The sequence below is a fragment of the Homo sapiens genome, chromosome 1 (genome assembly GCF_000001405.40).
Source record: "Homo sapiens chromosome 1, GRCh38.p14 Primary Assembly".
Lineage (NCBI taxonomy): Eukaryota > Metazoa > Chordata > Mammalia > Primates > Hominidae > Homo > Homo sapiens.
This window is the reverse complement of record NC_000001.11, coordinates 11,691,969-11,710,860: the sequence shown is the minus strand read 5'-3', so window position 1 is coordinate 11,710,860 and position 18,892 is coordinate 11,691,969. Positions and strand designations below refer to the sequence as shown.

The following is an 18,892-nucleotide window of genomic DNA, read 5'->3' as shown; positions in this document are numbered from 1 at the left end:
AAGCTCTGCCTCCCGGGTTCAAGCAATTCTCTGCTTCAGCCGCCCAAGTAGCTGGAACTACATGTGCCTGCCACTATGCCCGGCTATTTTTTTTTTTTTTTTGTATTTTTAGTAGAGATGGGGTTTCACCATGTTAGCCAGGATGGTCTCGATTTCCTGACCTTGTGATCTGCCCGCCTTGGCCTCCCAAAGTGCTGGGATTACAGGCATGAGCCACCGCGCCCGGCCTGAAAACCTTTAAAAGCCACAGAAGAGGTGCAAGAACGATGCGGTCAGCTCCTATATACCCCTCTTCCAGAATCACCAGTGGGTAGTGTTTTTGCCACATTTGCCGCTTACTTTCTCTCCACATTTTTTTTTTCCCTTGAGACAGGGTCTCACTCTGTCGCCCAGGCTGGAGTGCAGTGGTGCAATCATGGCTCACTGCAGCCCTGACCTCCTGGGTTCAAGCGATCCTCCTGCCTCAGCCTCCCAAGTAGCTGGTACTACAGGCACATGCCCTCATGCCTGTCTAATTTTTTAAAAAAGTTTTGTAGACACAGGGTCTCACTATGTTGCCCAGGATAATCTCAAACTCCTGGGCTCAAGTGACCCTCGTGCCTTGGCCTTCTAAGGTGTTAGAATTACAGGCTTGAGCCAACGTGCCCGCCCCACATTTCTTTTTTTTTTTTTTTTTGAGACAAAGTCTCACACTGTCACCCGGGCTGGTGTGCAGTGGGGCGATCTTGACACGCTACAGCCTCCGCCTCCCAAGTTCAAGCGATTCTCCTGCCTCAGCCTCCCGAGTAGCTGGGACTACAGGCGTGCGCCACCACACTCAGCTAATTTTTGTATTTTTAGTAGAGATGGGGTTTCACTATGTTGGCCAGGCTGGTCTCGAACTCCTGACCTCGTGATCTGCCCACCTTGGCCTCCCTAAGTGCTGGGATTACAGGCATGAGCCACCGCGCCCAGCCCACATATCTTTTTTAAAGATCTGATGCAGATGGGTCCAAGTGTTAGCTAATGCTTATTAATTCTGGGTCTTGACGACACAGTTTTAAAAATCACCATTATTATGCTTCATGCTCCTCTGTACACAGAAAGCTCCTCCCCAGGCCTTGCTGCTCTCCATGCAGACACCAGCATGCTGAGCTACCGCTTGCCTCCTTGGCTGTCCCCAGAGTGGGCCCCCAGGAGCACTTTGCCCTGGACAGTGGCAGACCCTTGTCAGGATGGGGCACCCACCAGGGCTGGAGCTAGACTGGATGGGCAGCAGGAGATCTGGTTTCAATCTAAGTAAGCTCTGTGGCCTCCTGCCCCCGTGCCTCAGTCTCCCTACATGTATTAAGAGGGCTTTCCATGACATGGGCTCAAGGACCCTTCCAGATCCGAGGCTGTTTGGGGACCCCTTACCTGGGGCCGCAGGGAGGTGACGGGCAGGATCAGGGACTCTTCTGTGGCAGGTGCTGCCTCAAAGGTGGTGAGAAAGAACATGGTGGGCGCCAGGCTGGTGGAGGATTCCTCCATGGCTGCATCCAGCACCTGGGCTTCGGAGAGCTCTGCCTTCTTCATCAGGGAGCTGGGACCTCGGACCAAGGCTCGGCCTGAGACACAGGGTGGGGAGCACGGGGGCTATATCTGCTTGCCACCTCGTGGCAGTCTACAGTAGAACCCACGTTTTATGCTGCAAACTAGGAGGCAGCAGGCACTGTGTGACAAGCCCTTGGTTCAGCCCCCATTCCTGCTTCCTACCCTTCTTGGGAGGTTGGGGGATGGGAACTCGGAGGAAAATGTCTTGGAAGAACTTGCAGTGTCGCTGGGGAGACAGTCCAAGGATTCTCCCTGTAAAGCAACATTCCAGCAAGTCCAAGTCCAGATTGGCTGGGCGCAGCCAGATATGTAAGTATAACAAATAGGAACTAGTAGGATTAACCATGGAAGGCTTCCTGGAGGAGGTGAAGTTTGAGTAGGGAGAAATGTCATGAGGCTGAGAATCATTGCAGTGGCCTTTGAGGAAGCTGGGAGGTGGGAATCACTGCTTATCACACACAAGTGAGTGCATCCTGTGTGGTGACAATTAGTCATCACCCCATTAATGGAGCACCTGCTGTGTGCTGGGTCCCAGAGGAGCTGTGTCACAAGTGTTATTTCGTCTAACTACTGCAAGAGCTCTGGGAAGTGGGTGCTCCTTCAGTCTCATCTACAGGGAAGGAAACTGAAGCACAGAGAGGTTAGGTGACTCACGCAAGGATGCACAGCTCATGAGTAGCAGGGTCTGGATTCAGCTCCAGCAGGGCTGGAGTGCAGGGGCTCAATCTTGGCTCACTGCAACCTCTGCCTCCAGGGTTCAAGTGATTCTCCCACCTCAGCCTCCTGAGTAACTGGGATTACAGGCATGCGCCACCACACCTGGCTAATTTTTGTATTTTTGATAGAGATGGGGTTTCTCCATATTGCCCAGGTTGGTCTCCAACTCCTGATCTCAAGTGATCTGCCTGCCCAGCCTCCCAAAGTGCTGGGATTACAGGTGTGAGCCACCACGCCCAGCCTGGCCTGAGGTTTCACAGCCAGTCATTAGCAGAGCAGGGCCTAGCCCGCAAACCTTCTCCGTTCCCCACCTCCTCCTCACCATATCAACTCTCCCAGGAGGCCTGGCTGCAGCCCTGGAGCTGGCGGAGCCGGAGCCCAGCAGGACGGGTCCACACCCCACGCGTGCCCTCTAGCTGTCCTCAAAGGTCCCAGCATCCTCCCCTGAAAGCTGACACAGGTAACTCCAGGAGTGGGAGGCTGAAAGTCGAAGCCGGGGGACCCTGACTGACCTCTGCCCTCTTGGGGGGTTCTCAGGCCTCACAGGGAAGCCAGCCTCAGCTGTTTGCACGAGAAGGGGTGTTGAAGCTCCATTGCCTTCCTGCCAAAGAACCCTGCTGTCACCACTGCATTTGTGGCACTCGGCATGTCCCTAGAGGCAGTCGGGTCACATGGAGAGCTTAGAAGCCAAGTTCCCTGGCTTAGGGCCAGGCAAGGCTGGGAGGAGCCACCTGACTGGAGCTGAGGGGACATGTCTACTCCGAGACTGAATGGGCACGGGGAGGGGGAAGCCTGGGCCAGCAGGGGGCTAGCTAGCTCCCAGCGGATGTGGGGGAAACGTTAAGGAAGGTGGGAAGGGCTAGGGGAGCACTGAGACAAACAGGGCAGAGGCAGGAGCGGTAGGCAAGCGATGCCTCTCCTGGAGTCACCTGTGTCCAGGCTGGAGGACACTGAGTTGGCCTCAGCAGGTGGCTGAGATTAACCAGAACAATGACTGCTCATGGCCCTGCCAGCTGAGCTCCAAGCGCCCCACTAACCAAGTCTCTGCAACGACACTGAGGGTAGATGGGATGGGACCAGTCTCCTTGCTTTACAGAGGGGAAAACCGAGGCACAGAAAGAGAACTTGCCCAGGGCCACACCCTAGTGGTGGAGGCAGGACCTGATCTCAGGCAGACCTGGCTTCAGAGTCTAGGCTCTTAGCTCCTACCGGATGCGTCAGAGTCGAGTAAGAAATGTGCTTGGAGGGCGCTGAACTGTTCCATTTCTACTCAGAACTTAAAGTAGGAGAAATTTAGGTCAGATACAAGGTAGAACTTCCTGATTCAGGAGGATGATCTGTTGATAAGACAGATTATTATTATTATTTTTTGAGACGGAGTCTCGCTCTGTCACCCAGGCTGGAGTGCAGTGGCGCCATCTCAGCTCACTGCAAGCTCCGCCTCCTGGGTTCACACCATTCTCCTGCCTCAGCCTTCCAAGTAGCTGGGACTACAGGCGCCCACCATCGCGCCCGGCTAATTTTTTGTATTTTTAGTAGAGACGGGGTTTCACCGTGGTCTCGATCTCCTGATCTCATGATCCGCCCGCCTCGGCCTCCCAAAGTGCTGGGATTACAAGCGTGAGCCACGGCACCGGGCCGCGATAAGACAGATTGTATTGCAACACATCCCTCTCCTCTTCCCATGCCCCAACCCCAGGCCTCTCCCAGCCTCCTCCCCTTACCAGGTCCCTCTGGCTTCAGTGAGACCCCTCCTCTCCTCTGGACCTCATGCCCCTGACCCTTGCCTGCATCCTCTCCTGCTCCCCTCAGTCCATGGCAGGAATCACCCCCATCCCCACCCCTCGCAGCCCTCCAGCTACCTTGGTGCAGCCTCAACCTGTCCCTGCGTCTCTTGTGCTCCCTGCTGCGTTTCCTGGTCCTCTCCCAACCTGGAGGTCGGTTCTCCTTCTCGGGGTAGGGCAATGCCAGTCCCAGGAGCAGGTCCTTGTCCTGCAGCAGGCCTGCAGGACTCTGCTCAGGCAGCAGCCCCTCAGCCTCTGGCAGCCTGGAGGCCTGCCTGGTGGCGGTGACCACAGCCCCATCCTGGGCCTGGCTGGGCAGGCCTGGGCCCCACTCCTTCTTGCCCGGGCCCCGCCGGCGGTGGTGGCTGGCCTGAGGCGTCCACAGCGCTGGGCCTGGGAGGTCAATGTGATTCTCAGGGAGGTTCCGGGCAGGGGTCCCAGGTGCAAGGGCGCCTGCCAGGCTCAGCTCCAGGGGCAGCAGGAGGACGAGGAACAGCATGGGAGCGGTGTGGATGGCAGGCCCAGCCATTGGCTCCTCCCTGCAAGAAGAGCAACACCATGAATGCGCAGCCCCAGGCCTCTCTCTGCTGCCCCTCACTCAAATGATTAAAGCCCAGTTTTTCTCAACAGCCATAGAGGGACATTTTGCTCCCAGTGACATTTGGCAATGCCCGAAGACATATTTTAGTTGTCAAAACTGGGGAGTGCTACTGGCAGGTAGAGGTTGGAGCCCGTGGATGCTGCTAAACGCCCGACAATGCACAGGACAGCCCCCGAAACCAAGAATCATCCGGCCCAGAAAAACAACAGTACCGAGGCTGAGAACCCCCGGCTTAAATCATTTCAGCAGCATTCAAGTTCCAGATTAGTCCAGAATTCCTTTCTCTGCACAAACCTCTGCCCCTTACCAAGTCCCCTAGAGGGAACCGAGTCCCTCAGAGCTCAGAAATATGCCTCTGGCCCCTGAGACTTGACTCGGAGCCTAATTCCATACAAATGGAATAATAGCGTTTGAGCGCACGCTGTAGGCAGGACCCACGTTAAGTGCTTTGTGTGAATTCATGTCACTTCGCCCTTTCAAGAGCTCTCTGAAATGGCTCCTGTTATTTTCCCCATTTTTCTGAAGTGGCAATGAAGGCTCAGAGAGGTTAAGTCACACCTAGTAAGTGGCACTGTGTCATTCCTGTCCCTGAGCCCTGAACCCCGTGTGGCTGTCCCAGGATGGCCCAGCTCTGCCTTTCTCTTCTCCTCTCATGATGAGCTCTGAGGCCCCAGAATGTTCTGACACTGTCCCTTCCCCTGGGGGAGGGGCTTTGGGAACAGCTTTGCAGACTTGGCTCTGACCCCTGCAGGGTAGACTGAGCCAACCCGACCTAGCCTCAGGATATCCCCCTCAGGGGACCCAGTGCCCTCCCTCCACACTGGAGGGAGAAGCTGCAGCTCAGGGGATGGTGGGGGCGTCTGTCAGACTCTGGAGACCTCCTGCCCCCGTGCACCACCCGCAGCTGCTCCCCCACGCACCCCTCTCCATTGCACCAACCTCACTGTATCCTGGAGCTAGGCACTAGGTTAGCCAGGCTAATTGAATTTTTATGGCCTCCCGAGTATTCCACTAGGCTGGCAAGGGTGCTTACGCCACCGTTTCTTTGTGATTTGTGGCCATATAATTGTCCCGGGCTGAGAAAAGGTTGGTGGGCCTGTGATGTTTCCCTGCTTCCCGGCGCCTCTCCCTGCGGCCCCCATGCTGGCTGGCCCACCCCAGTGTCACCTTAGCCCCGACCCCGAGGGAGGGTGGTAGGGCAGGGAAACTGCTGTGCCCTCGAAGCTCTGACCACGCACTCGTGGAGGGGAGGGGGGAAACACCTTCTCCAGCCTCGCAGGGTCTGTGGTGGCTTCACCCAGTTCTGCCTCCATCCCAGCCTGGCATGTCCTGGTCCCCTGGGATCCTGGGCCCTGGCCTCCACTGTCCACAGCTCAGCTCTTCCTAGAACTGTGGATGGAGACAAGGAGGTGGCCGTCACTTTCCATCTTGTCCCCTATCCCGGGGATCTGGCTGAAGATACTAGGTGAGCCTTGGTGACGTGCGTGGGACCCTGGGACAGGCTTGTTGTGACAACCCTGTCTCCCATCACACCTGCATCCATTCCTAAGGCCACAGACCCTGCACCACAGTCCCTGCTACTGTCCTGGTCACGTCACCAGCAACGGAAGGCTCTGTCCCACTGGCCTTGCCTCCAGCCCTTCCCTAACAAGTGCTCTTGAGGCCAGAGCTCAGCAAGCGGGACCTGTGTCCCTGGTTCCTGAGGCAGCCCAGGGGGAGGAGGGGCCCATTTTAAAGGCCTGTCACTCAAGCATTGTTCGGCGCAGAGGGAACCTCAATCCTGCTTCGGGGCCAGTGGAGCGGGGCTGCTCTCTGGGCTGGCATTTAGCCTGACCACTGCCAGACTTCACCCCCTGCTCTCCTTGTGACTGGAAAGGCCAAGCGCATATGGGATCCCGTCCATGTCCGAGACCCAGCCCTGCCTTTCTGTCCTGCAGGGACATGACAGCCTGGGAGAAGCCCGAAGAGCGTCCTAGGGACAGGGAAACCTCGGGACGTTGGCCAATGAAAGGAATCACCACCTCCTCCTTGTCCTGGGGGTTGAGGGGAATGAGGAAGAAAACCCAGACAGTGCGGGCAAGAGAGCAGAGGAGGCTCAGTAGAGAGGTGGGCAGCTTCTCAGCTAGTCTGCTGTCCCTGGGGACACACAAGGCTGTCAGTAAACCTCAGAGCCGCCTCTGAGCCTGGTGAGCAGCCTAGGTGCTGGTCTTGGAGGACAGCTCCTTCCCTGCAGAGCCAGGAGATGAACTCCCACTCCTGCCCCACTCCAACACCCCGAAGCAGCATGATCCCACCCAGACTGCCACCTTCCCAAGCTCCGTTGCCACGACCCTACTTGGCTGTGGGTCCATTCACAGTACCCATCCTGCTTCAGGGCCAGTGGAACCCCAGTCTGAATGCCATCTTTGTTCCCTCCCACCCTTCAAGAACCACATATCACCCACGCAGCCAGCCTGGGACAGAGGAAGTGGGATTTCAGTGCACAGTGCCAGAGCACCCATGGGGGTGCATCCAAGGGGGCTCCATCCTGTCCCCAGACCCAGCATATACTGGTGGTATGGCTACTCGGGTTGTGACCCTTATCTGCTCAAAACTGTCTATGGCTCCCTATTGCCTTCCCATGCAACCACAGACTCCTTACTTTGGCACTGAAGACCTTGTGTAATGTGGCCCCAACCAAGCTTTGCAGCTCCAACTTCTACTTTCTCCCCTTCACAGGCAACAGAGACTGCTCCCTGGGCCCCAAACACACCCCTGCTTTCTGGCTCTCTGTTCTCACTTTGCCTGTCCCCTCTGCATGGAACCTCTCCCCCTCTCCCTCATCTCTCTCCGTCCACGTCCTGCCCATCCTTTGGGACTCAACCCAAATGTCCCTTCCTCCAGGAAGCCTTGTTCAGTCCCCTGACTCCATGTGCTCTCCGCTTGGTGCTCCCACATGCCTTTGTCCTGCTCTTGAAGACCTCGTGTGTCATTTTGTGCTGGGACCGTCAGGTTTTTTAGAGCCCCTGGCTAGACTGGAAGCTCATAAAGGACTCTGCACATTCCCTTCTGCTCTGCGGCCCCTCCAGGGCCCTGCACATAATAGGCGCTGGTAGCCATGGATCAGAACAGAAGTGGATTGAGCACAATCCAATTTATGTATCAGGCCGGGCACAGTTGCTCATGCCTGTAATCCCAGCACTTTGGGAGGCCAAGGTGGGAGGATCACCTGAGGTCAGGAGTTCGAGGCCAGCCTGGCCAGCATGGTGAAGCCCCGCCTCTACTAAAAATACAAAAATTAGACGTGCATGATGGCATGCGCCTGTAATCCCAACTACTCAGGAGGCTGAGGCAGGAGAATTGCTTGAAACTTGGAGGCGGAAGTTGCAGTGAGCCAAGATTGTGCCTCTGCACTCCAACCTGGGCGACAGAGAGAGACTCAAAAGAAAAAAAAAAAAAAGAATTCATACCTCGGCAGAAGATCATAAATAAATCCCCAGGATGTGTGAGTGTGTGTGTGTGAGCATCTGGCATGTATGTGTGAGCATGACGTGTGTGTGGAGCATGTGTGAGCATGTGTGTGTGTGTACTATGATCATGTGTAAGCGTGAATATGTATGGGTGTGTAGGTGTGTAGTGAGTGTGTGGGAGTGTTAGCATGTGTGTGTGTGGAGCATGTGTGAGTGCATGTGTGTGTATACTATGATCATGTGAGAGCATGAATATGTGTGGGTGTGTAGGTATGTATGTGTGTTGTGAGTGTGTAGGAGTGTTAGCATGTGTGTGTGAACATGTGTGAGCGTGTGTGTGATGATGTGTAAGCGTGAATGTGTGGGTGTGTAGGTGTGTGTGTTGTCAGTGTATGTGTGGGAGTGTTAGCATGTGCGTGAGCGTGTGTGTGTGCTGTGAGCATGTGAGTGTGAATATGTATGGGTATGGGTGTGTATGTGCATGTGTGTGTGAGAGCGTGTATGTGTTGTGAGCATATGTATGGGTGTGTGTGAGCATGTGTGTATGTGTGAGCATGTGTGTTGTCAGCATGTGTGAGCGTGAATGTGTGTGGGCGTGTACGTATGAGTGTGAGCATGTGTGTGTGAACTCGCGTGTGTGAGAGCATGTGTGTTGTGAGCATGTGTGAGCGTATGTGTGTGCACAAGCATGTTTGTGAGCATGGGTGTGGACTGTGTGCAACAGTGTGTGTCAGCTGGAGGAGGGGCTGGGGGAAGACTACACGGGCCCCTCTCTCCAAGCCCAAGGATTTGTACACAGCTCTTGGCACAGCCCAGCAACTGAGATGCCAGCCTGGCAGGGAGCCCCCGAGGAAACGTGGGCTGCTACAGAAGTCGTGCCAAGGATCCACAGCGACCAAGGGCTCCAATCCATTTCTGTCACTCTGAAAGCCAGTTGGAGGCTGTGTCACAAAGCACCAGGCAACCAGGCAGAAGGAGGAGGCAGCCCCCTCCGCCTCCCCGCAGCCCGGGGCGGTTCTGCCCGGCCCGGGTTGCTCACAAAGCCTGCGCTTCTGGCCCAGGGTCTGCTCCTCCCAGCCGAGCACAGTCAGCAGCCCGGAGTAGCCCTGGACCAGAGTTGCTGAGGGATGGCAGGAACATCCACAACCCACAGCCGGCCCCTTTCACAACTGAGGTCTGATAGCGAATCATTAAAAACAAAACAAATTAAAACAAAAGCAATCGTAATTGTAGGAGCTGCTGTCCCCGAGCAGCTGTGAAGCCCAGGCCTTTCCGCGTTTCTTTCTTTCATTCACATCTCATTTTTCCTCTCAACTGCGCTGTACATCAGGGAGACTTTTCCATGGTTTTAAAATGACGAAACCGAGGCTCTGGGGGCGAGGGGGTTGTAAGCCACAAATCCAAGATGGCACAACTGGCAAGTGGCAAAGCCCATCTCAAGGCCGGGGTTCTCCTGGCACCCGGTGCACACAGGACATGGTTCTTGTCCCCATTGCCCGTGGGGCCACCTGCCTCCCTCACGCAGCCGCTCATCCTCGCGGTGAGAGGCATCTTCCTCCTTGAGTGCAGTCAGGGCCCAGGAGCCACCAGCAGCTGGGAAACAGACACTAACCAGGGAGGGGAAGGGGCTTATCTCAAGCCCCCATCTTGTCCCCCATCCTAGGGGAGAGTTGGAGAGCTGTCAGCATCGCCGTATGCAAACGAAGGCGATGAATCGAGCCTGGAGTCAGCTTTGATTCCTGAGCCCCTCCCCCCACAACAGCCTTGCATTTGGGGGCCAGGAGACTCGGGGGATCCTGCCCCGCCTGCCTGAGGGACAACTGTGGAGCTCGGCCACCAGGCTTCTCGGGACAGCTGTCGGACCAGCATTCCTGCGGCGCTGATCGGCCTTCCTGTTGCATAGTGGGTTGGGGGGAGCAAGTCATGGCTGGCCAAGGCGGGTCCCATGGGAATCCTGGGTCAGGGATATCAGTGCTGCTCAGATGGTGCGGAAGGATTATGATGTGAAGCAGGCAACCCCCCACGGGGAGAACCGGAGCCCATCAGCCTCCCTCCCTTACCCCGAATCTACTCATGTGCCAAAGCGACAAATTCGTGCGACTGTATTTGGCAGGAATGTTTCAGGGGTTCTGTAAGCATCTGATTCTAGCTTCACTTTAAAAATATATTTTTAAAATTATTTTGAAAACTGTAGTAAAAATAACAGACACTCTCGAATACATTCTCTACCCAATTTGAACATGGGCACGGCCCCATCATAACTTGGGCTTCTGGTTCACTGAAGAGTATTCCAGGGATATAAGGTGAGCAGTTTCAAAGACTCGCTGCCATTTGCAGCTACTTAATTGCATGCTCCAGGATTTTCTGAACGTGAATAATCAAAGCCAGTTAGAAGCGCAGCCTCACATCCATGAGTGTAACTGATATCCATTACATCATTTTCTATCATGGAGAACAGCTTCTTTTTTTCTCATTGGTTTACTTTATTTATATTTATTTATTTATTTTGAAACAGAGTCTCGCTGTGTCACCCAGGCTGGAGTGCAGTGGCACAATCTCGGCTCACTGCAACCTCCGTCTCCCGTGTTCAAGCAATTCTCCTGCCTCAGTCTCCTGAGGGATTACAGGCGCTGCCACCACGCCCAGCTAATTTTTGTGTTTTTAATAGAGACAGGATTTCACCATGTTGGTCAGGCTGGTCTTGAACTCCTGACCTCGTGATCCACCCACCTTGGCCTCCCAAAGTGCTGGGATTACAGGTGTGAGCTACTACACCTGGATTTACTTTATTTATTTATTTATTTATTTATTGAGAGTGAGTCTCGCTGTGTCACCCGGGCTGGAGTGCAGTGGCGCCATCTCGGCTCACTTCAATCTCCACCTTCTAGGTTCAAACGATTCTCCTGCCTTAGCCTCCCGAGTAGCTGGGATTACAGGCACGCACCACCACACCCAGCTAATTCTTGTATTTTTAGTAGAGACGGGGTTTCACTATGTTGGCCAGGCTGGTCTCGAACTCCTGACCTCAGGTGATCCACCCACCTTGACCTCCCAAAGTGCTGGGATTACAGGTGTGAGCACCATGCCTGGCTTGAGCCACTGCGCCCGGCGGTTTGCTTTAAAATAAGTAAATATTAGTCCTGGCTACTTGGGAGGCTGAGGCAGGAGGATCCCTTGAGCCCAGGAGTTTGAATTCAGTCTGGACAACATAGTAAGTCCCTGTCTCTAAAAAAAAATTTTTTTAACAAAAATTAAAATAAGTAATTATTATAAACTGGGGCAAAGCAGTGGTCGCACAGAATCTAGGTGGGAGAAGCCAAAGAGAGTTAGTCTGATCGCAAGTAGGGCTTAAAGGTGTGTTGTGTCTGCATAAAATAGAGACATTTTTGATTTGGGGAAAGGCATTCTTGGTGGTGGTGGAGTGCTACACTGCTTATAAAACACTGTTTTGTTGATTTTATGTATTGGGATTACGGATCGAATTTCATTTGGGAAAAGATTTGCACTACTCAAAACATTTCTTTTTGGCAGGGAGTAGGGGAGGAGGACCACTGGGCCATTGGATTAGGTGGTCCCAAAGGCCCTGTCTGCCAAGGGAGCCTGAGAATTTATGATCTATGACGATAAGACTCCTCCATCTGTCTGTCTGTTCAACTGTCAGACCCCTATGGGGAGGGGTGACAGACAATATCCAGTAGGGTGTGGACTGAGTCTCCAGGAGCTAGGGGCAAAATCTTCCCTTCCGGATACTCCCAACCTAGGAGCTCTGTGGGGAGGAATTGTATCCCCAGATTCAGGAGATTTTGTTGAATGCAGGAATCATCTCAGGTTTTATGTCTCTGTAGTTCCAGGAAGATTTTACGATTGCTTTTTTGTTTGTTTGTAGACAGAGTCTTGCTCTGCCCTACAGGCTGGAGTAGTTGTACCATCATAGCTCACTGTAGCCTCAACCTCTCCAGCTCAAGCAATCTTCCTGCCTCAGTCTCCTAAGTAGCTGGGACAACAGCCACAAACCATCATGCCAGGCTAATTTTTTCTTAGTTTTAGTTGAGATGAGGTCTCTCCCTATGTTGCCCAGGCTGGTCTTGAACTTCTGGCCTCAAGTGATCCTCCCACCTTGGCCTCCCAAAGTTCTGGAATTACAGGCGTGAGTCCCGGGCCCAGCAATTGCTTTAACTTGAGATTGATCTGCCCAACTTTTCCCTCTGGCTACTCCTCATCACTCACATGGACACTTCCTGAAACGGCAGGAATTGGAGATGGGCAGTGCAGTCCGGAAGCCCCATCTGCTCTTAGCAGAGTGTGGCCACTCTGCAGTCAGCCCCAGATCTAGTTAGGGCTTCCTGGAGCCCCGGCCCCCTAGGAGCAGACTTCTGTCTTGTTTAGGTGGAGCTGACACCCCTAGGGCTGGAAAGTGGGTAATTTTCTTGTTCAGTCAAAACAGTCATATCCTACATGAGAGTTGGGGAACAACTGTATGGATTCTAAATTAATTCCTGGGCTGAGCTCTTCCCAAGGTAATTTGAAACGAGAGTGTTCTAACCCCCCTCCTGATCCCTCCCAACATCTCCTCCCTTCATGAGTCTATTCCCTTGTCTGTGAAATGGGATTATTAGGCTGCCATGAGACTTGACTACTTAGGAAGTCAGTGCTTCTGTGTGGTTTGTGTGTGGGTGGGTGGTGGTGGTGTTCCGGGTATGGATGGAGCCCGGCAGTGCAGGTGGCATAGAGGATGGGGCGGGTGGGATTCACAGCAGCTGCCCTGCTGGGTGTTCACTGGCATACTGGTGCGTTGATCATCCTGGACTAGTCCCTACCCATCTCCCTGCCTCCCTGTGGCTCTGTATCGCCCAAAGTGTCACCTGACCAATAGGAAGGGGCCTCTCAGCAACCCCTAGGCCTCAGAGCAGCCAGAGCCCCACCTACCCCTCCACGGGTCTTTCTCAGGCACAGAGCTCTGCCTTTTGCTCTGCTGGGGACTGCTGCCTCCTTGCGATGGAGATCGCAGGGGAGAGTGAATCCCGGTGGTCAGCCACTAGCTGAGCCCCTCTGTGTGCAGAACCAGGATGCCAGACAAGGGCACCTGCTCCAGTCTGAAGGGAGAGACCTGGCTTCTGCTCCTGGAAACCACCAGTCTGAGGGCGGACACATAGTCCTGGCTCATTGGGATAGGAGGGAACCAGGTCATGCCTTAGAGGACTCTATGACTATTAGGGGACCTAGCCCATGGCTGCAGAGTGCTTTCAATCTAAGCCAGAAGCAGCCCCTGCCCTGGGGAAGCCTCCCATCTAGCAGGGTAGATACAGTTGCTGTCCTCAGGAATTTGCCAATCTGATAGGAGAGGCACAACTCTGGCCTTGGGAGGGTCCCAGAACATGGAGCTGCTGATCTGCCAGCAAAGACACAGTCCTTGCCTCCAGGTGTCCCCACTGATAAGGGAGACAGTCCGGGTGAGAGGCCACAGGTCTCATTAATGAGAGGTGGAGGCCCAGACATCACTACTACCGATTCCAGCTCACAGATGTCAGCCCAAACCCACTAAGCTGACCCATGGGAGGGCCCTCACTGAGCAAAGCAGAAGGAGCTAGACAACCTGGGCAAGTTTTTTAACCTCTCTGGGCCCCAGTTTCCTCTCTTGTAAAATGTTAGCTGTCATGAGGATTGGGGAGTAAAAGTTGTTTTTTTTTTTTTTTTTAATTATTAAGATGGAATCTCGTTCTGTTGCCCAGGCTGGAGTGCAATGGCACGATCTCGGCTCACTGCAACTTCTGCCTCACGGGCTCAAGTGATTCTTCTGCCTTAGCCTCCCAAGCAGCTGGGATTACAGGCATGCACCACCATGCCTGGCTATTTTGATTTGTTTTGTTTTTGTTTTTTGAGACAGAGTCTTGCTCTGTCACCAGGCTGGAGTGCAGTGGCGCGATCTTGGCTCACTGAAACCAGGAGGCTCATTGCCTCCTGGGTTCAAGCAATTCTTCTGCCTCAGCCTCCCGAGTAGCTGGGACTACAGGTGCACACCACCACGCCCGGCTAATTTTTGCATTTTTAGTACAGACAGAGTTTCACCGTGTTGATTAGGATGTTCTCGATCTCTTGACCTCGTGACCTGCTCGCTTTGGCCTCCCAAAGTGTTTTTTGTTTTGGTTTTTTTGAGACAGATTTTTGCTCTTGTTGCCCAGGCTGGAGTGCGATGGCACAATCTCAGCTAACTGCAACCTCCGCCTCCCAGGTTCAAGCGATTCTCCTGCCTCAGCCTTCCGAGTAACTGGGATTACAGGCTCCCACCACCATGCCCGGCTAATTTTTGTATTTTTAGTAGAGACGGGGTTTTACCACCTTGGCCAGGCTGGTCTCGAACTCCTGACCTCATGATCCGCCTGCCTCTGTCTCCCAAAGTGCTGGGATTACAGGCGTGAGCCACCGCACCCGGCTGGGGAGTAAATGTTTATAAAGTAAATGGGACACAGAAGGGTGAAATAAACAGTAGTTGTTACTATGGGAAGGGGAGACAGAGGGAGTAAGGTGGCAGGCATGGGTGTGGTGGGGGCCAGGGAGTTTCCTGGAAGCATTTGTGCATCTGTGCCTGGGTGTGCAAAGGGGCAGGCGCAGGTGGCTGCGTCCTCTGTCCTCAGTGGGGTGATCGATGGCAGGGCAGGACTGTCCTAGGCCAGCCTGGAGGGGACCATTGTCCTGGCAAATGAGGTTTGGCTTCCCTGCAGGGGCAGCTCCATCTGCTTTTATTGTTTCCGACAGCAGCCTTGGGATTTTCAACCCACCCCAGACCTCACACCTTAAAAACCTGTACAGGGGCTTTGCGGGAGTTCATCAGAGGCCCCACCCATTCAAAGGCCTCCAGCTTCCAGCATTCCCCGCTCACCTGCTGAACTCGAGTCCTACCTCCTGCTAGATTATAGGTACTTGTGGCCCCTCTTCCTCCTCTCCTAGGCAATTTGTGGGTGGGGGAAGCAACCCTCAGCCTCCATATTCCTCAAACTTCATTATCTTGGTACCTAGACCATTTAGCTCTGTGTTTGTTTGGGTATCATCTACTGTTCTAGGTTCTAGGCCCAGAGCTTTATAGGCATTATTTAACTTGACCCTTTGAAGTATATATATATATATATATTTTTTTTTTTGAGACAGAATCTCACTCTGTTGCCCAGGCTGGAGTGCAGTGGTGCAATCTCAGCTCACTGCAGCCTCTGCTCCCTGCAACCTGTGCCTCCTGGGTTCAAGTGATTCTACTACCTCAGCCTCCCAAGTAGCTGGGATTATAGGCGTGCACCACACTTCCCAGCTAATTTTTGTATCTTTTTTTTTTAGTAGAGATAGGGTTGCACCATGTTGGCCAGGCTGGTCTCGAACCCCTGGCCTCAAGTGAGCTAGCTGCCTCGGCCTCCCAAAGTGCTGGGATTATAGGCATAAGCCACTGCACCTGGCCTGAAGTGGATAATATTTTTCAGATGGTAATAGCAACAATGGCTGTGTAGGAACATTAAGACAATGACCAAGGGACTTGCCTAAGATAGCCTAGTAGAGCAAGTGATAGAGCTGGGATTCGAACCCACAGCCATCTGACTCCTCAGACTCATCATCCCTGCTCCATCACATTCCTGGCCGAGACTGCTCCTCATGCTGCCATCCAGTAACCAACACCAGTGCAGCTGCTGTGAGTCCCAGGGAAGGTGGCATGAGCTGGGGCCTGACCCAGAGCCTGGTACACCTGAAAACCATTAAGTCCTGCAATGAGCTCCTTCCAGTTGCTCTGGGTTCTAGCAGGAGCCTCATCCCTCATAACCACCCCTTCAACCCCATCCCATCAAGAGAAGTCTTGGTGTTGGGGCATGGGTGGGTCATGGTGTTGGGGCATGGGGCGTTGTCAAGCTGGAACCTGGGGTGGCAGAGCCTCTACTGGCAAGGATTCAGCCATCCTCCCACAACCTTCTTCTTCTTGGGGACCACTGGCCACAGCGACTCACCCCTGAGAAGGAAGGCTGGAGTAGGGCATGCAGAGAGGGCCAGCGGAGCAAGAGGGAGGCAGCTCCAACCCACTGGGCCAGAACAGGGGTGCTCCTATGACCTGCCCCCCAGGAACATGCTCATGCCTCTGAGGGAAGTTCGGGGAGGCTGGGATGCAAGTCCCTGCTCCATCACATTCCTGGCCGACACACGTGAAGGAACTCCCTCTGGGTCCCACAGCTGCTAAGTGATCAGCTGGGCTTCAAACCCAATCTGCACGGCTGGGGTGAGCCACTTCGTTCTCTGGTCTCAGTTTCTACCCCTATAACAGGCACAGAGACCACCCTCATTTTCCAGAGTGATACAGGGCCTCAGTATCACAGGGGTTTCCGGGCAGCTTGCTCCCCCTCCAACCTCCCCAGCCAGAGGGCCAGCTCCGCCCTGGCCCCACCAGCAGGACCCAGCAGAACTCAGCAAGACACTGGGGCTTGCAGTTTTCAGTTCATTCCTGTGCCTTTGACCAGGAATCACATTCAATATAACAGGTGTGCACAGAGCCCCTACTGCGTGCCAGGCACTGGGACCACAAGCAGAAGGAGACCCAGCCCCCACCCAGGGAGGAGCAGACCCCTCCCAGATAGGGATTATGCCGTGCAGTTCACAAGAGCTAGGGAGGCAAGGGAGTGCCGGGGTGCTTCCCACAGGAGAGGACATCAGACCTCCTTGGTCAGCAAAGACAGAGGGCTGAGATCAAACACAGGGCAGGGCAGAAAGAGCCCTAGCAAAAGCTCAGAGGAGGGCAGACTGTGGAGATGGTCAGTTCTCCATCGTGGCTGCAACCTGGGACGCAGAGGGGACAATGCTGGGAGGCAGGCAGGACAGGGCTAGGCTGGGCTGAGGTCTCTGTAGTTAACTGAGTGGCCACAGTGAGCCACTGAGGACTATGGACTGGGAGGGCGATGAATTGAATAGTGGGGAGGAAGGCAGCGGAGAGAGCAGAGAGGACCTGAGCAAGGTTCCCAAGCCTCTGAGCTGGCTTTGCTGCAGAAGGCAGGGGGTAGAGATGGTATGAAGGGCCGGGTTCACCAAAGTAGGGCCTGTCTGCCAGGTCGGATTTCGAGCAGGAGCCTGGATGGGGGATGTCGTGGGGATATCCAGCCGTTCTTGCCTCTAAAGAGAAAGGTTCCAGTTGCCAGCCCTGGCTGTGGCTGAAATAAGAACTCAGCCAGGGGAGCCTGGAACCTGCCAGCTGGGAGGTTTCCCTCTTCTGAAGTTGCCCTCATTAAGACACTCAGGCCACGTCACTGCCAGACTCCTGGAGTGGTGTGTCACATGTTATGACCACCTAGACAGTGGTCAGGGGGCTTGGGCAAGCACACAGCAGGTCCAGGAGCCAGCAAGACAATCCCCTCAGAGGAAAGGAAGTGGCCTGTGAGCTGGTGCCGCTATTAAAGGCATCAAGCCAAGACTGAGGTTCAGAATTGGGGGTGAGTCACCGGACGCCTTCTGATGGGTGATCAGTTGTTGGCAACACCAGCTCAGCCACACTGATCTCATTTTGAAAAAAAGTGACCCATTGGCCCTGATTGTTTTAGCTGATTTTAGGACAAGCAAAGAGGAGGAGAGAGAGAAAGAGAAGAGTGCTTGCAAGGGTGTGGACGCCTGTATGGGCACGAGGAGGTGAAGGTGACAGGAAGTGTGATGGGGGAAGAGGCTGTGGTGGTGGGGTTACTCTGAAGTGTCTCTAAGCCTTGACTTTGAGATCCATTTCTGTGGAGCCCCCTGTCCCCACCCCATCCCAGGTCTGTAGACTCCCCTCCCCTCCCCTCCCTTCCTCCACAGGGTGTGTGAACCAGCACCAAGCGGCACCCCACAATTTCCACACACATCCCTATAGGTAGGGACTAGCACCATCCCTGTTTTGTGACAGGAACACTGAGGCTCAGAGAGGTGCATTCCTTTGTCCGAGATCACTCCCAGAGCCCCAGTGTACCCGACTCCAGATGCATAGTACTGAACCGGTTCCAGACACCAGTGTGTCACTGGGCTGGGAGGTGGGCAGCGTGGAGGGAGCATATAGGGCAGGGGAGACCACCGGGCGGAGAGGATGGCCCAGGGAGCACCCAGCTGAGGAAAGCAAGAAAGACTTGGCGGGAAACCCCAGCCCTCTCTCATCTCATACCCCGGCCCCGAAGGCGGCTGAGACCCTTGACGAGCGGACGGAGAAAAGCCAAAAGCCGGCGGTGGGGAGCAGGAGGGACAGAGCGGGAGACCACAGGCGAAAGACCAGCGCCGTCGGGGGAGCCAGGCTGAGTACCTTCCTGGGCACAGATGGGACGGCGCGGGGCCACCGGCGGTGCTGGTTCCGGGCGCACTCAGCGACCCCGGCCACACACCCCAGCCTCCTGGGCGGCCTCGAAAGGGGCTGGAGGGCACGCCCGCCAGCTCTGCCCGGGGCTCAGGGAGTCTTCGAAGACTTCTTCCAACGGTGGCGGACTGGGGCCCCCTGCCTGAGAGACCACCCGGAGACTCAGAGACAGAGAGACAAAGGGAGACTGGGTCAGGGAGAGAGAAGGCTAGTGCCGAGGAGAGTAGGTGCGAGCCGGGACCCCAGAGGGCGGCGAGGGCGCGCGCGAGGCCGAGTGTCAGAGCGTGGAAAAGTGGGCGTCCAGCGGTAGGTGGACGGATGGGGAGCCCGGGAGCAGAGCCAGGGTCCGTGGGCAGACGCGGCGAGGAGAGGAGGCGGCGGAAGGACTGGCGGATAGACGGGTCCGAGGGCTGGGAAGGAGGCAGCATCCTCACTTCCAGCC

At 54.9% G+C, this 18,892-nt stretch overlaps 1 protein-coding gene across 2 annotated transcripts in view, besides 1 other annotated feature; it reads right to left on the bottom strand.

Moving 5' to 3' along the window:
• The window catches only part of DRAXIN (dorsal inhibitory axon guidance protein), a 39,223-nt gene that overhangs the window by 14,997 nt on the left and 5,334 nt on the right, over positions 1-18,892 (bottom strand). Inside the window, exons 2-3 of one of the 2 annotated variants that reach the window (NM_198545.4) lie at positions 4,152-4,612; positions 1,396-1,586 (exon numbers count right to left, since the gene is read on the bottom strand). In NM_198545.4, the coding sequence (NP_940947.3) occupies positions 1,396-1,586; positions 4,152-4,602 (642 nt within the window). In that variant the 5' untranslated portion in view covers positions 4,603-4,612. Of the gene's footprint in view, positions 1-1,395; positions 1,587-2,528; positions 3,627-4,151; positions 4,613-18,892 lie in introns of those variants that run through there. The other variant, XM_017001215.2, reaches the window with a different exon arrangement.
• Positions 5,954-6,581: an enhancer, noted in NCBI's record as "H3K27ac-H3K4me1 hESC enhancer chr1:11764337-11764964 (GRCh37/hg19 assembly coordinates)". NCBI's record gives its function as "activates a minimal SCP1, AML or CMV promoter by ChIP-STARR-seq in naive H9 embryonic stem cells {active_cell/tissue: H9 hESC(naive)}" and the evidence as "EXISTENCE:reporter gene assay evidence [ECO:0000049][PMID:30033119]".